This window comes from Homo sapiens, chromosome 9, assembly GCF_000001405.40.
Source record: "Homo sapiens chromosome 9, GRCh38.p14 Primary Assembly".
NCBI lineage: Eukaryota > Metazoa > Chordata > Mammalia > Primates > Hominidae > Homo > Homo sapiens.
In genome coordinates, this window is record NC_000009.12 from 6184764 (window position 1) to 6201891 (window position 17128).

The 17128-nt window shown below is 40.1% G+C and overlaps 1 pseudogene, besides 1 other annotated feature; it reads left to right on the top strand.

Moving 5' to 3' along the window:
- Window positions 263–362: an enhancer, noted in NCBI's record as "active region_28185". NCBI's record gives its function as "activates an Ori minimal core promoter by ATAC-STARR-seq in GM12878 lymphoblastoid cells {active_cell/tissue: GM12878}" and the evidence as "EXISTENCE:reporter gene assay evidence [ECO:0000049][PMID:35858748]".
- GTF3AP1 (general transcription factor IIIA pseudogene 1) lies at window positions 11171–12091 on the top strand (annotated as a pseudogene).

The window sequence follows — 17128 nt, forward strand, 5'->3', positions numbered from 1 at the left end:
GGCCTGGGCTCAGGTAGCAGAACTGGGGTTCAGGAGTGAGGAGTTTAACTCCTGGCCAAAACCGTATGTGTGATATTTCAGGCCCAGCCACAGGCAATTGCAAAGGCTTTGCCTGGAAGGCCTCATAGGAAAAGCTGCCCTTCCCACACCAGACTTGGTACAGAGCCAATGCATTGCAGTGTCTGAGGAGAGTTGCAGTCAAAGATTCAGGCCTCCTGGCCAGCTATGCTCTTATACATATCTGCATTCATGGCCCAGGCACCTCCATTTGGAAGTCTTCTTCTTTTCAGGGAAGCTTGAAGACACTTTACCCACTCTGACTCAGTACTCGATATTTTCTACTTGCAGCCCTCCCATTCTTCCTCACTTCTGGCTCCAGGGTCCATAAAACTGCAGGTGCCTTTTGGTTGGAGATCCCTAAACAGTGAGTTGACTCCACCAACACACTGTTCCACTGGGGGAAATGAAACAAAGGGGAGTCAAGGTTTGACTGTTACTTTCATTTTGGCTATTTTTAATCAGCTACTCTAACGCCTGAAAGCTTAGCTGAGTGGCTGATGGAAAGAAGCATGTAGATTCCAGAGATATTTGGACGATAGAGTTGACAGGATTTGGCCATTTATTAGATTGGGGGATGGGGTAGGATAGAGAACAGTGAGGGAAAATAAAAAGCCAAGGAAACTGCATAGGTGATTTGGGCAATAGAGTGGATGGTGGTGCCATTCACTGGACCATGAAACAAGGAACAGGAGCTGAGTGGCAGGAAAATACTTTCATCTGGGGCATGACACTTCAGAGAAGCCTGTGGGTCATCCAAGGCAGATATTCAGAAAACAGCTGGATATGTAAAAAGGAATTTAGCGGAGAGGTCTGAATTGTTATGTAGATTTGAGAATCATTCATTAATAAATGGTAAGTATAGATATTGGCATGAATAAAATGAAGCTGGGAGAATACATAGAATGAGAAGAAAAGATGGCCTGAAACTGAGGCTCACCATGGTCTCTTTTTAGACTTGTCCTCTTTTGGTTCTCTAGATAATTCTCCAATGATATGTTTTTCTATGACCCTCTCAAAACCTTTCTTAAACTTACTAAATAAAATAGAGACAGCAGGTTATAATGACAGAGCTTGGAACATTATAGATACTCAGTAAATGTGCACAACCTTCCTTTCTAACTCTGTATTTCTCAGGATTGTGTTAAGAATCCTGAGTTAATTAAGGTTCCTGGCTAAAGACAAAGCTATGTCTAAATGAAGGCAGCTGTTATCATACTTGCAGGTGCTATATTTCTTTAAATAATGAGTTTTATATATTTACTGTAAAGGATTCTTTTAGTTCACATATTATTTCTCCTAAACAGCAAAGGATACCACCTTTAAACCAAACCAAACCAAGTCATGCCTCTGAGTGAAGTTGTAGAATAATTTTTTTGAAACTTTAACATTTTAATTTTCTATTAGCAAGCTAAAACAAAGCAGAGGCTAAATTCCATAGTCTCCAGAAATATGGGGATCGCTATATGTAAGTGTATTAGTCCATTTTCATACTGCCCAAGACTGGGTGATTTATAAAGAAAAGAGGTTTAGGAGCCAGGCACGGTGGCTTACACCTGTAATCCCAGCTACTTGGGAGGCTGAAGCAGGGAAATTGCTTGAACCTGGGAGGTGGAGGTTGCAGTGAGCCGAGATGGCGCCACTGTACTCCAGCCTGGGTGGCAGGGCGAGACTCCATCCCCAAAAAAACAAAACAAAACAAAACAAAAACAAAAAGGGAAGGAAGGAAGGGAGGGAGGGAGAAGGTGAAGGGGAAGGGGAAGGGGAAGGGGGAGGAATAAGAAAAAGAAAAAGAGGTTTAATGGAATCACAGTTCAACATGGCTGGGGTGGCCTCACAACCACGGTGGAAGGCGAAGGAGGAGCAAAGGCATATCTTGCATGGCAGCAGGCAAGAGAGCGTGTGCAGGGGAACTGCCCTTTATAAAATCATCAGATCTTGTGAGACTTATTCACTATCATAAAAACAGCATGGGAAAAACCTGCCCCCACGATTCAATTACCTCCCACTGGGTCCCTCTAATGACAAGTGGGGATTATGAGAACTACAACTCAAGATGAAATTTGGGTGGAGACACAGCCAATTCATATCAGTAAGTTCATCCTGAAAGGCTGAGAGTAAAGCTATCATAAAGATGGGGATTTCCTGCTTTTCTCATTCTGTTTATATTTTTACATCCTGTTTTGTCTAAAGTGTTCTTTTGAAACAAAGACCTGGAAAGAAGTCCAAGTAGACTCTGACCTCTCTTGCATCTCCTGTACCCATATTGGAGGTAATACATATCCCATACTTCTATGAAAAGAATGCAGGTCTTGGAATCAGGCTGACTTGGGCTCAAATATGAACTTCATCACTAACTAGATATGTGAGCCTTAATTCTTCTGTCTTTGTAATGAGAACTTCTTTGGGGTTCTGATCTGGATTAAACAAAACATTGTGTATAAAGCCCCAGGCACATAGTAGGTGCTCAACATAGTAAGTGCTCAATAAGTGGTAGCCACAGTGATATTTATTATGAAGTGGGCCAGACTTTGGGAGGAAGAAAGAAGGTAAAGAAAGATATAGACCAAATGGGAAGATAATGTCATGGCTTTAATTCACTTTTCATGGAAATTAGAAGAGATTGTGAGTAACAGAAGGTCACTTGGGGAGCTGTCCAGGGTGCAGAGGATGCCAAGAAATATTTATCTGATTGAAGAAGAGAGTTGAAAGTTCATTAAAACTTCTGTTTACATTTGAGCAAAACCTGCTCTTAATAATTACTCTCAAAAGTTGCAAGCTAAAGTAACTAGATAATTCAATAAATATATAGATACCAGGTCTGAGGCTCAGAAGGACTGTCCAGGGTGGGTCACCAAGCTCCAGGCCACCAGACTAGCGACAAGAGTTAGGCTGCAATTCCCAGGAAGGAAGAATGGAAGCCATTATCCCAGAGGAATATAGAATAGGCTATATTCTATAGGGTGGAGGGAGGAAAGTAGAGAACAGTACCTGGTAACAGGGACTGCAGGGGTAGCTGGTTTTGTTTGTGTGTTTTCTGCTCAGGAACAATTTCCATATCTTTGGGTGACAGATCCCTATTTTACTTTGCCAAAATTACCTCTCCTAGTGAAGGTGCAGGCCTTCCCAAGGTTACCAATTCATTTTCTTCCTTTGAATGTTGAATCTTCAGTAGATATTTAAAAATGAAAAATGGTTAGTATGAATTCCTCTGAGCTTTGCAGCACTCATCCCGGGGACACTGACTCACAACACAGTTTATATGAAAAGAGGGGATGCTCATCATCCCCTGAAGTTCAAGACGAGGCTGAGAAACATAGTGGGACTCTGTCTCTACAAAAAAAAAATTCTAAAAATTAGTCATGCTTGGTGGCACACACCTGTAGTGCCAGCTACTCGGGAGGCTGAAGCCAGAGGATAACTTGAGGCCAGGAGGTCGGGGCTGCAGTGAGCCATGATTGCACCACTGCACTCCAGCCTGGGTGACAGAGTGAGACTTTGTCACAAAACATAACAAAACAAATAACTAAATAACAAAACAAATAACAACTCCCTGGGAAAGCTGACTTTTAGCTTAATTCCTGCCCTTCAATATTCTCTATATTGTAAGGTGCTAAAAATTTACAAACTAGATTCCCAAGTTTCCTAACTAGGTAGTTTCCAGTTAGATTTTCCCAAAGGCAGGTCTCAGAGAAAGACCAGAAGGCAAAAGGGAGAAGCTATTTTATCCTCCATTTTCTGTTTCTGGATCTGGCAGTAGCCACAGGCAGCCACAGGATCCAGACGTCTTGGCAGTGAGTCCAGTAACATCAAGGGGACTATGGGCTCCCAAGTTCTTGCAGCTTCTGTAAATGTGCAAATTCTCAGCCTCTTGAAAGGTAACAGCAGCAGTGGTTTCAATAGCAGCAGCAGCAGCATTAACAAAAGGATGCTGGCAACCTCAGCAACATAGCTCTTTTGAATTCTGGGTACCATCACTGGCCCTTTTTGCCCCTCCTTGGATTTTATTCTCTCTGTTTGAATGCCTAGAGAAATTCTGCCTTTCTAATTGAACACCAATTAATAACTGAGAGTGATTTACTATTACACTTTTGGTGGGAATGTTAACACATGAGTACAATCAGTAAGATGCAGTACAATTGAACAGACTTGTGTTTAAACCAGGCTCCCCCACCTATTAGCAGTGTTATCTTAGGCAAATAACTTAACCAAACCTCAGTTTTCCTTATCTGTAAAATAGGGATGATAGAATCCCTCATAGGAATGTTACATAAATTATGACGTAACGTTTTATATGTAATGATATAATGTATGTAAAAAGTACCTGGCACAAAGGCGTTCAACAAATTTTGGTTTCCTACATCTCTTTCACCCAGCACTTGCTTGGTTATGGCTTAGGTGCATGAACACAGACACATTCCAGAGATGTTTGACTCAGTCAAGCTTCTATCAGGAACTAGGGTACAATAGAAATGGATTACATGAGGAAGTCAGATATGGAGGAAAAATGAAGTAGTTGCTGACAGGGAGTGTTAAATGGGATTTCTAGAAAGGACACTTCTCAGAAGAGAAACATGATGCACAACAAATTTTAAACCCTTACTTAGTGACAGCCTAATTCAAATCACAAACATAGGTCTATACTCAGAAAAATTATGTTCGTACACACTCTTTGGAAGAGAGAAACCCTGGCTGCTGGTCTTATTGTGGATACCTTCATAATTCACTTGGAAGATGGAACAGATTATTATTATTATTATTATTTGAGACAGGGTCTTACTCTGTCACCCAGGCTGGAGTGCAGTGGCACAACCTAGGCTCACTGCAACCTCCACCTCCCAGACTCAAGTGATCCTCCCATCTCAGCCTTCCAAGTAGCTGGGACTACAGGCACGTCACCACACCCAGCTAATTTTTTGTTTTTTGTTTTTTGTATTTTTGATACAGACAGCATTTCACCATGTTGCCCAGGCTTGTCTTAAAACTCCTGAGCTCAAGCAGTCTGCCTGCCTTGCCCTCTCATAGTGCTGGGATTACAGGCATTGAGCCACCGGACCCTGGCCAGAAGATACAAAATTATTTTGTATCTGTCCGTGGAGACATTTCACACTTATTATAATTTAGTATAAGTCATGGTGAATGTAAAGAGACAAATATGGCTTTTCACAAGGTGCCCCTTTGACCCTTCAGAGCACTAGATCTCTAAAATGAAGTATTTGGAGTCCAAAAGATATAAATAAGAATAAGAGGTCATGATGGTGTCTTCATGAGAAAAGATTGGGAATTAAAGATGTTTATGCTGAAATAGAATTATAAGATACTAGTAGTGGATGATGCTTTAAAGACTCTCACCTCTCATATTTTAGATCAGAGAACCTAAGCTCAGAGGAGGAAACTGTTCTTAAATTACACAAAAATTTGGAGGCAGAAATGTCACCAGGTTTCTTATATCTGGGAAAGAGACCAAAAAAAAGGTATTATCCTTCTGGAACAGTCTTGGCCAGAGCCTTTCTCCTCTAAGAGTGGGACTGGACAATGGAGCCAGGTCAGTGGTGGGTCTGTGCCATTGACTAGTGGAGAGCTCCCACATAAAAATATGCCACCCTTTGAGTGCAGCCACGGATGTTACAATCTAGTATTGAGTAAATGGACACTTGATTTTACATATCTCCTTCAATATATTTCATCATAATATTAACTGTCATAACTACAAATTATCAAAAATTCCCTACTTTTGAAAAATGTACATAAAATGAAGAATGATGGCTCTCCTCTGTCCTAGCAAGGGACAAAGATTGGCCTAGAAAGCAGGTCTCTTGATATCCAGTCCGATGTCCTTTCCAGTTTCCCCAAAATAATAGTAGCATTCAAAGGTATTAAAATATAGTGCCTTACATGGGTCCAAAAGGCAGATTTTGTTCTTGCTTGAAAAGAGAGCTGTAATAAATAGTCTAAATTTCTAGCAGGCATAGTAGAAGAACCTAAGGTAAATGTTTTAATTTTATGCTAATGGTTACTAAGGATTATCATAGAATTACCATTTTTGGGGAACTTGAAAAATAGGTGTGACAATTTGAGGGATGAAAAGATAACCAAAAAATAAATTTAGCTCCTGCTGTTGCCACTGAATGTGATGACAAATGATACAGAGAGGTCATTCTCACAAGACCTAGGCTAGGCCAAGGAGAATGAAGAGGAGACATCACACCAGCATTTAACTTAAGAAATCAGCTGTGTGGGTGGCTGTTGTGGTTGCTTTTAACGACTAGTTAAAAAAAAAACAGATTTATTGAAATAATTAATAATTCACATACACACAATTCACCCACTTAAAAGTGAACAGATCGATGGTGTTTATACTATATTCACAGTTGTGTAACTTCAGCCAGAATATTGGAATATTTTCATGACCTCAGATGAAACCCCATACCCATTAGCAGTTCCTCCCTTTCTCTCCCTTCTTCCCACCCCAGACCCTGGCAACCACTAATCTACTTTCTATCTCTTTGGATTTGCCTATTCTGGACCTTGCATATAAATGGACTCACACAAAAAACTCACTGATACGTAGTCTTTCGTACCTTGCTTCTTTCACTTAACATAATGTATTACAGGCTCCTTCATGTTGCAGTATGTACCAGTACTTCATTGCTTTATACTGTCGAATAATATTCCATTGTGTAGAGCGTATACTGAGGAGTGAATAACTGGGTCATATAAGAACTCTACGTTTAATCTTTTGAGGAACTTCCAGATTATTTTCCAAAGTGGCTGCACCATTTCACATCCCTACCAGCAAGATCTGAAGGTTCCAACTCTCCACATCTTTTTCAATACTTGTTATTATGTCTCTTTTATATTTTAACCATCCTATCATGTATGAAGTGATATCTCACTGTGGTTTTGATTTGCATTTCCTGATAGATAATGATATTGACTCTTTTCATTTATTGTTGGCTATTTGCATATTTTCTTTGAGAAATTGCCTTTTTTTGAAAGATAGTTTTGCTGGACATAAACTTGTTGATTGACAACTTTTTGTCTTTCAGTACCTTCAAAATGTTACCTTCTTGCCTTCTGGCATCCATTGGTTCTGATGAGAATTCAGCTGTAAGCATCATTGGCATTCCACTATACATGATCAGTCCTTTTTCTCTTACGCTTTCAATATTTTTGCTTTGGCTTTGGCTTTGAACATTTTTACAGTAATGTGTTGTGTGTGGATTTCTTTGCATCTATCTCACTTAGAATTCATTGAGTTTCTTAGATATGTAGAGTAATAATTTGTATGAAATCTGGGGACTCTTCGACCATGAATTCTTTGAATACTTTCTGCTCTATTTTCTGTCTCCTCTCCTTATAGTACACCAATTACACTTATGTCTGCACGGTTAATGGTGCTCTGACACTTTTTTCCCATTATTTTTCTCTCTGTTCTTGAGATAGCTTAATCTCTCTCAGTCTCTCTTCAAGTTTACCCATGTTTTTCTTCCTCCAAAACCAACAACTGAAGGTACCAAATAGAGAATAAAAACAGATAGATACTGAGGGAAGTCAATGCTGGGCAGAAAAGAACAGACATCAACTCCCATTTTGCGTATGTGTGTTTTCACCATGTGGGGTGGCTAAAACTCTTATAGAAAATCCTAGTTTTACTGGCTTAAGAATCAGAGAAAAGGACTTGTGTTTGGGGAACTAGATCCACTGGAAAGTGAAGAAGAAACTCCCAGAAAGGAGAGAGCCAAACAATGGGTCTCATATTCTAGGTACAAAATTTTCCCAAATCTCTGAGTGATCCTTGAACATGACTATTGGGGAAAGACTCAAAGCAAATTAGTTAAAGTTAAAGGAATTGAAGTAAAATTTCAGCTACACTCATCACAGTGGAAATACAGTGTTACAGTTTCATTCTATAAAAGTTAAATATATGCTTAAAATCAGTACTATTCAGAGGAACATTCAGATTCCGGAATTTTTACAACACATCATTCACAATATTGAGGATGCAATCCAAAATTATGCAACATTCAGGCCGGATGCAGTGCCTCACACCTGTAATCCCAGCACTTTAGAGGGCTAAGGCAGGCAGATCACCTGAGGTCAGGACTTCAAGACCAACCTGCCCAACACAGTGAAACCTCATCTCTACAAAAATACAAAAATTAGCTGGGCATGATGGTGGGTTCCTGTAATCCCAGCTATTCAGGAGGCTGAGGCGGGAGAATCATTTGAACCTGGGAGGCGGAGGTTGCAGTGAGCTGAGATTGCATTATTGCACTCCAGCCTGGGCAACACAGCGAGACTCCATCTCAAAAAAAAAATTATACAACATTCAAAGAAGCAGGAAAACATGACCAATTCATAGGAGAAAGATTAATAGAAAACAAGCTAGGATGACCCAGATGTTGGCCAACAATTATTTAAAACTGTATATTAAAATGATGCTCAGTAGTAAAAAGGAAAATATGCTCACAGCTAATAAAAAGTGGGAAATTTCAGCAGAAGAAAAGAGATTATTTTTTTAAAGCCCAAATAGAAATTCTAGAACTGAAAAACAAAACAGCTGAAATATAAAATTAACTGGGTAAGCTTAAGAACCAAATGGAATGATGGAGGAAAGAAACAATGGACTTACAAGTCAATAGAAATTATCTGATTTGAAGAAGGCAGAGAAATAAATTTTAATTAACAGAGCCTATGGATCTGTGAGACAATTCAAAACTGAAGACCTGAAAGAAGACGAGAGAGAGAATTGAGAGGAAAATCATGGCCCAAATTCCCTAAACGTGGCATAAAACATATAGTTACAAATTTATGAAGCTTAGACAGAATTAGTAGAAAAAACACTCCTATTTACATCATAATCAAACTATGGAAGAAAAATATTTGAAGACAAAGAAAAATGACACATTGAATACAGGGAAACAATTAAAATGATGGCTGCTTTCTCATAAGAAGCAATAGAAGGGGAGTCACAAGACAGTGAAACAGAGTTCATGTCCTTTGTAGGGACATGGATGAAATTGGAAATCATCATTCTCAGTAAACTATCGCAAGAACAAAAAAACCAAACACCGCATATTCTCACTCATAGGTGGGAATTGAACAATGAGAACACATGGACACAGGAAGGGGAACATCACACTCTGGGGACTGTTGTGGGGTGGTGGGGGGGAGGGATAGCATTGGGAGATATACCTAATGCTAGATGACGAGTTAGTGGGTGCAGCGCACCAGCATGGCACATGTATACATATGTAACTAACCTGCACATTGTGCACATGTACCCTAAAACTTAAAGTATAAATAATGAAAAAAAAGAAAAGAAAAAATGTACACCAATAAATTAAATAACCTAGAAAAAATATTAAAAAGCATAATCAAACTAAAAAAATAAATAAATAAATAAAGTACAAGGGAAAAGCTTGTCCACTTGGAATTCTGCATTCAGCAAAAATGTCTTTCATTATTGAAGGTGAAATAAGAGTATCAGGGAAAGAAAAATAAGAGAATTTATAACCACCATATCGGTGGTGAAACCAAACAAACAAACAAACAACAAAACTGAAATAAATTCTTCTAGTCTAAAAGGAAATAAACCTTCCTATGTGCCAGGGCCCACCTTAGGCACGGAAATACAAGTTTGAGTATAATGAGGTTCACCATGGAGTTTATAGCTTATAGATGAAATGGAAACCAAACATTGTACTTCATGGCAGTACCAATGGGAGCAGGAATGCCTGGCCTCAATAACAATAGGAGCCAGAAACCACACATGTATTTACTAAAATGTCTTTCAAGAGGGCACACCTGTAAGTCTCTGCATTTTGCCACTTATACAACTTCATCTTTGAGCGCTTACATAGGGTCAGATTACCTAACAATAGCTGTAAGCCAAGACAAAATTGGAGGAGGAGAGAATTAGTAGATACCTGATACAGGATATAAGGGCTAAGCTTTAGATTTTTCTATCCTGACTCGATCCAGGGTATTTGGTTTCTATTGTTTTTCACTAAATAAAGATAGGTCTTTCAACAATCCCAGCTTCTGTGGAATTAGCTGAAAATAAACCAAGAGCTAGAGACTCAAAGTATTTACAGTAGATACATTTGAGTAGGTATATTGCTCAAGTCACACTGTAACTGCCCAGTGGGTTCATTTTGCCTGCTGCCCAGATAAACTCAATTTATTAAGACAGAGGAATTGTAATAGACAAAGAGTTTAATTCATGCACAGCCAGCTAAACAGAAGACAGAAAATTCAGAGATTGGAGTTTTTTAAGGGCAATTTGGCCGGTAGGGGGCCAGAGAATGAGGAGTGCTGAGAAGTTGGGTTGGAGATGAAATCACAGGGGGTCAAAGTGGGTTCTTCTTGCTGTCTTTGGTTTTTGGACAGGATTGCAGAACTGGTTTAGCCAGATTACTGGCCTGGATGGTGCTAGCTGGTGCATCAGAATTTTAGGGTCTGAAAAACATTTCAAGCACTAATCTTGGGTTTTACAATAGCGATGTTATCCCTAGGAGCGACTGGGGAGGTTTGGAATCATGTGGCCCCTGGCTGAGTGACTCCTAAACCAAAATTTCTAATCTTGTTGCCAATTTGTTCGTCTTACAAAGGCAATCTGGTCCCCAGGCAAGAAGGACATTCATTTCTGGAAAGGGCTGTTATCATCTTTGTTTCAAAGTTAAACTACAAACTGAAGTCCTCCCAAAAGTTAGTTTGGCCTTTGCCCAGGAATGAACAAGGGCAGTTTGGAGGTTGGAAATAAGATGGAGTCAGTTAGGTGAGATCTCTTTCACATCATAATTTTCTCACTGTTACAATTTTTGCAAAGGCAGTTTCAATACCACAGTTAGATCAACAAATATTTTGAAAATGGGAAAAAGGGCCTTTTCAAATTAATTTTTTAAAGAGATAACCCCAGAAGGTCTTGTATGGGGTGGAAAAGCAATAGGAAAATTATATAATATGATGATTCTGTGAAACTAGTGGGTCAGAAATAAGTGTTTACAGGCCAGGGCCTGGTGGCACCAGAATGAGCTCTTGGAAGTAGCTGGCTTTGTGTGTTGGGTCCATATGCTGGTGCACCCATGTGGCTGCATACCTGATCTGGGTGGGTGCCGAGGCATTGTCACCCCTGAGCATTGCCTAGGCATTTCTCGTGGCCCGCTAGAGACCAGTCCCACTCCCTTGTCCCCTCCTTCCCCTGCACTCTCTAAGAAGTTCATCTGCTCCTTCCAGGACTGTATGTAGCACCAATTACAATAAGGTCCAGATGCTTGAAGAGCACCTATGCAAGCACACGAGGAAGAGACCATTCATTTGTGACTATGAAGGGTGTGGCAAGATTTTCCTCAGGGTCTACCACCTGAGTCACAACATCCTGATTCATATGGGAGAAAAGCTGTTTATGCACTAGTGGCTGTGACAGAAAATTCAACACAAAATCAAACTTGAAGAAATATTTTGAACACAAAGATGAGATTCAGCAAACAACATATATGCAATTTTGAAGGCTGTAAAAAGATCTTTAAGGATCAGTAGCTGAAAATCCATCAGTGCCAGCATACCAATGAACCCAGAAAGGATGTGGGAAATACTGCCTGACCCAGCAGGCTGAAACGACACACGGAGGTTCAGGAGGGCTAGATGTCAAAAGAGATGTTCCTTTGTGGCAAAAACATGGGTTGAACTTCTGAAATATGTGAGGAAAAAAAACCCATATAGAGGAAATAACATGTGAATATGGCAGAAAATTTTTAAACACAAAGATTATCTTAAGCAATATATGAAAACTCTTGCTCCAGAGAGAAATATTTGCCAATGTTCAAGAGAAGGCTGTGGTAGAACCCACATGACTGTATTTAATCTACAGAGCTGTATCCTCTCTTTTCATGAGGAAAGGCACCTATTTGTGTGTGACCATCCTGGCTGTGGCAAAAGGTCTGCAATGAAAGTCTCACATAGACATACCATTGCAACAAGAAGAAAATTAAACTCAGAGTAAAACCAACTCATGAAAAACGGAGTTCGGTGGGGTGTAATGGCTCATGCCACTTTGGAAGGCTGAGGCAGGCAGATCATTGAGGTTAAGAGTTTGAGACCAGCCTGGGCAATATGGCAAAACCCCGTCTCTACTAAAAATAGAAAAATTAGCTGGGCATGGTGGCGTGCGCCTGTAGTCCCAGCTACTCGGGAGGCTGAGGCAGGAGAATTGCTTGAATCCGGGAGGCAGAGGTTGCAGTGATTCCAGTCACGCCATTGCACTCCAGCCTGGGTGATGAAGCAAGACTCCATCTCAAAAAAAATAAAATAAAAAGAAAAGTACAAAGGGAGTTTGGCCTCTGGTCTCAGTGGATATACCCCTTCTGAAAGGAAACAAAAATAAGGTTTACCTTTGTCTAAAAATAGAAAGACACTGAACTGTACTAGAGACGTGGTGCAATAACTTAAACCTCAACTAAATATCACATTACTTTGTTTAAAGGACTACAAACCAGTGAGCTTTCTTTCTTTCAGAGGCGTATTTTTTAATTAAAATCACTGATGCAGAACAACAATGTGTTTTCCATGTGCACTTGGTCAACACCTATATCTTTACTGTGTCTCCTATGAGCAGGTACTGGACACGGAGGATGTAAAAAAAAAAAAGAAATAAAAATGAGGCACCATCAGGGATTTCCTCCAGGAGGCAGTGTCACTCTAGAAAGACATGAGTGACCCAGGGATTATGTCGCCAGCTTCAATTCAGTCTAGATTCCTGGCCCTCAGAGAGACATGACTGCTGAGGGCAGTAGCCTAAAAAAGGAAACCCCTGGCCTTTTGGCTGGATGCCTCTGTGCACCCCTCCAGGCCCACTCTCCACCTCCCACAACCCTGCTTTATGACCACAGAGGCTGACTTTCTAGGCTGCTCCACTGGGCAAACTTTCTCTCAGTCAAGGTGGTGGGATTTAGTGAGCTTTCACTAAGTGATGCTTCATGGCCAACAACCTCAGATTATTACGATAAATATCACTTCCTATTTCACGTTACATAAGGGCTCGGGGTAGGTGGTACATCTGTGGCTGTGTGGCTCAGCTGCAGGTGTGGTGACACCACAGGTCTGTTGCATATGTCTGTCTTCTCATCCAGGGACCCCTACTGAAGGATCAATCATTCTTGGGGCATACACTGAGGTTAGAGCTTTTCTTTCCTGAGCTTCCTCCTTACCAGGATTTTGTGGTTGGCAGATTCCCTGTACTGAATCCTTAGCTGCTGCCTAACAACCCCTTCCTAGAGCTGTGTTCTCTGGGCCCAGTCTCTGCTCCTTCTTGACTCTTGGCTACAGAAAGTAGCACCATCCTTGAAAGAAATGCAACCCTGCCAGTACCGTGATCTTTGTCTGGTGAGCCTGGTGTTGGACTTCTCTGACCTGTAAGATTATACATTTGTATTAGTTTGAGCCACTAGGTTTGTGGTTATTTATTATGGAAGCAATAGAAAAGTAATAAAATCTCTCTCCTGTTTTCAGGTAGTAAAGGAAATCTTGAGCCTTGAAAAGCACACTCCTGGGATGATGAAAAGAATGCAACCACTGAGTGTGCCAAGTAGCTTAGCATCCGCTTAGCTCTTCCCGAGATTGTAAACCACTCTTCCTGATCTGAACCACTCTTCCTGAGATTGTAAACATTGCTCAAGGCTATTTACCTTAGAAATAAGGAAATTTGCAGACTCTATAAAACATCCCTTACAGTTGGTAAAACTTACTGCTGAATCAGTTAAACAATAAGGCCTTGCGTGAAAGGAAAAATAACGTGAGTTGGGGCAGCCCAAGTGGGAAATGCCTCTGCATAGGGGAGTGGCATGAGAAAACGACACTAGTGGAAAGGAGTAGGGGGTGTTCCATGGCGGGGATGAAGTTGCCCAAAGTAACCACCCTAACAATAGATGATCTGGAAGAAAGGACCATAGACTGGTACAGAAGCTGTATCCAAAGTCAGACTACAAATCCTCGACTTATCTTCTCCCACCTCATTTCTCACCACGCTCAGTCCAGCAATACTCCAAGGAAGAACACTTCTTTGGTGTAGCTCCCACATATCTTCTCTCCTGGCTTGTGATATGCACCTGTCATAACTTCCTGGGAGGGGAAGACTGAAGGCTGTTTCTCTTAGAACATGCTGTTTCTCTTAGAACATGCTGTTTCTCTTAGAATTTTCTCAGGTATGAACCAATGCAGGACATTCCTATAGATTGGTGGTTTTCAAATCTCTTCTGCAGAATCCTAGAATCTCGAGGCCTCCCGCAACTGGGATAGTTTAAGCAATAGTGATCTTATTCCCCTTACTTCTCCTTTGACTACAGGAGCTCTGCATCTATATGTTGACATGTATGAATTCTGTGTTGAGATTTTATTTGATGTAAGTTTGTGCTTTTAAGAAAAATCTGAAAACTACTGAGCAAAATCAAGTGTAGTAGTGCATGGAGAGAATATTTTCTGTCCCAGACTTGCCTGAGAGCTCACTGTAGAAAAGATTGGGCATTTGATGCCAAGTATAGTAGTCCCCCTTATCCATGGGGGTTACATTCCAAGACCCCCAGTGGATGCCTGAAACCATGGATAGTACCAAACCCTCTATATTATACTGTTTCCCCCCATACATACATACCTTTGATAAAGTTTAGTTTATAAATTAGGCACAGTAAGAGATTAATAATAACTAATAAAATAGAATAGTTATAACAAAATACTGTAATCAAATTTATATGAATGTGGTCTCTCTCTCATTCTCAAAATACTGTAATATTTTCAGACCACTGTTAACTGCAGAAAGTGAAACTGCAAATAAGCAGGGAGTACTGTACCTGCTATTTCTCAATTAGTGCAGCTTATGGATTACTTTTCTAGGCACCAGGGATGGAAACAGAGAGGGAACTTGGCCTCTGTGATTTCCACAAAACAAACAAAAACGAGGCTTATTGGTGTATAGCAGACTAGACAGTTCTAAATCCTGGCACCATTCAATTGACAGGCAGCACTTTCCTTTCTAGCTACATCTCTTATCAAAGAAAGAATGAACTAGCAAACAGGTTGAGAGTAAAATCAAACATTGGCTTGATGATCTCCCAGGAAGGGCAGTTGTCTGCTGCCCAGCACTTCTCTTCACCCATAAATCCACAATACAGCGCGTTGGGATCTGTCCAGTGATCACTGAACAAGGGGCATGAGGAGCACAGGTAGACTACATTTTCCAGAGATTTTCATGTTTATATACTGGATGCTAATGAGCAAACCTCTAATGGAGGACCCACTGATTATTTTTCTAAAGGGTTAAATACGTGTTCTAAAAAAAAAAGTGTTAAGTAAAATTTTTCAGAATTGGCTGTGGAGCACGTAACTCACTCTTCATACCATGTGGGGATGGTAGGCATTCTAGAATGTCTTCCTTCTATCCCTCAGCTCCTCTCTCTCTCCCCCTTCTTCTCAATCCCATCATCTTCCCCTCACAGAACTCTCACTATGTATCACTTCCTGGTGTCCCTGTTCCCTTCCTCAAGACATACCATCCTTACCTCTCCACAATACAATGTAGATTTCAGCCCTAAGTCATCCAGAATCTTGCAACCTGTCGTCACCTGAGACTTCGTATGCCTGTCACTAGGGGATCTGCTCTGGCTTCCGCTCAGTGTCCTCCACGAGGAAACTCTGGTCCCTTTCAAAGGGGGAGGAAGGAAATGGTGGTGCTTCGATTTCAGCTCAGTCTCTTTCCACGAAAGTTTCTTCACAAGAAGGCAAACACAACTTATTAATGAAAGAATGTCTCTTTTCTTCCTACTAGCTGGTCTGGTCTATGTGAAGAACATAGATCTTTATCATCTCGATTGTGACCTGACTTCTTATGAAATAATCACCCTGGTGTAATGGTCCTAAAATACTAGACTTCTTTCCTGACCTGGATTTTTCAAATTAATGGTGTTTTATCATAATCTTTTTATTGTAAGGACTAGCTTAATTGCCTTGTGACCAGAGAACATGGTTTGTTTGAAACAGCAACCCTCATATATTCTGTTGGGAGTGTAAAATGGTGCAGCCACTACATAAAACAGTTTGGCGGTTCCTCAAAAAGTTACACATGGTATTACCATATGGCCCAGCAATTCCATCCCAAAGTATATACTCGAAGAATTGAAATCAGGTATTTAAATGAAAACTTGTACCTAAATGTTTACAGTAATGCCATTCACAATAGCCAGATGGTGGAATCAATTAAAATGTTCACCAACTTATGAATAAATAAATAGAATGTGGTATATTGACATAACAGAATATTGTTGAGACATAAAAAGGAATAAGGTACTGATACTTGCTACAACATGAATAAAAACATTATGCTAAGTGAAAGAAGCCAGACACAAAATATCACATAATGTATGATTCCATTTATATGAAATATCCAGAAAAGACAGTCCACAGAAATAAAAAGCAAATTGATGGTTGCCAGGGGCTAGAGGTAAGGGAAAATGGGGAATGGATGCTTTATGCATACAAGATTTCCTTTTGGGGTGATGAAACTGTTTGGAACTAGACACAGGTAATGTTACACAATATTGTGAATGTACTAAATGCTACTGAATTGTACATTTTAAATTGGTTAATTTTATATCATGTGAATTTTACCTCAATTTTAAAAAATTACTTTTAAGTGGACATTTTTGTAAAAGCTGTTTCATATTCTCCACATACTCAACAATAGTTATTTTTCCTTTTTTTTTAAAAAAAAATTACATGCATCCTAGTGGGTGAAAAGTAGCATTTCACTGTGGTTTTGATTGGCATTTCCCCAATGACTGATGACACTGAACATGTTTTCATGTGCTTGTTAGCCATTTGTATATCTTCTTTGGAGAAATCCCCATTGAAAGCTTTTGCCCATTTTAAAATTCGGTTACCTTTTTGGTTTTGAGTTATAAGAGTTCTTTACATATTCTGCATATTAGATCCTTATTAGATATATGATTTGCAAATATTTCCTTCCATCCTGTACGCTGTATTTTCACTATCTTGATAGTGTCATTGAATCACAAATATT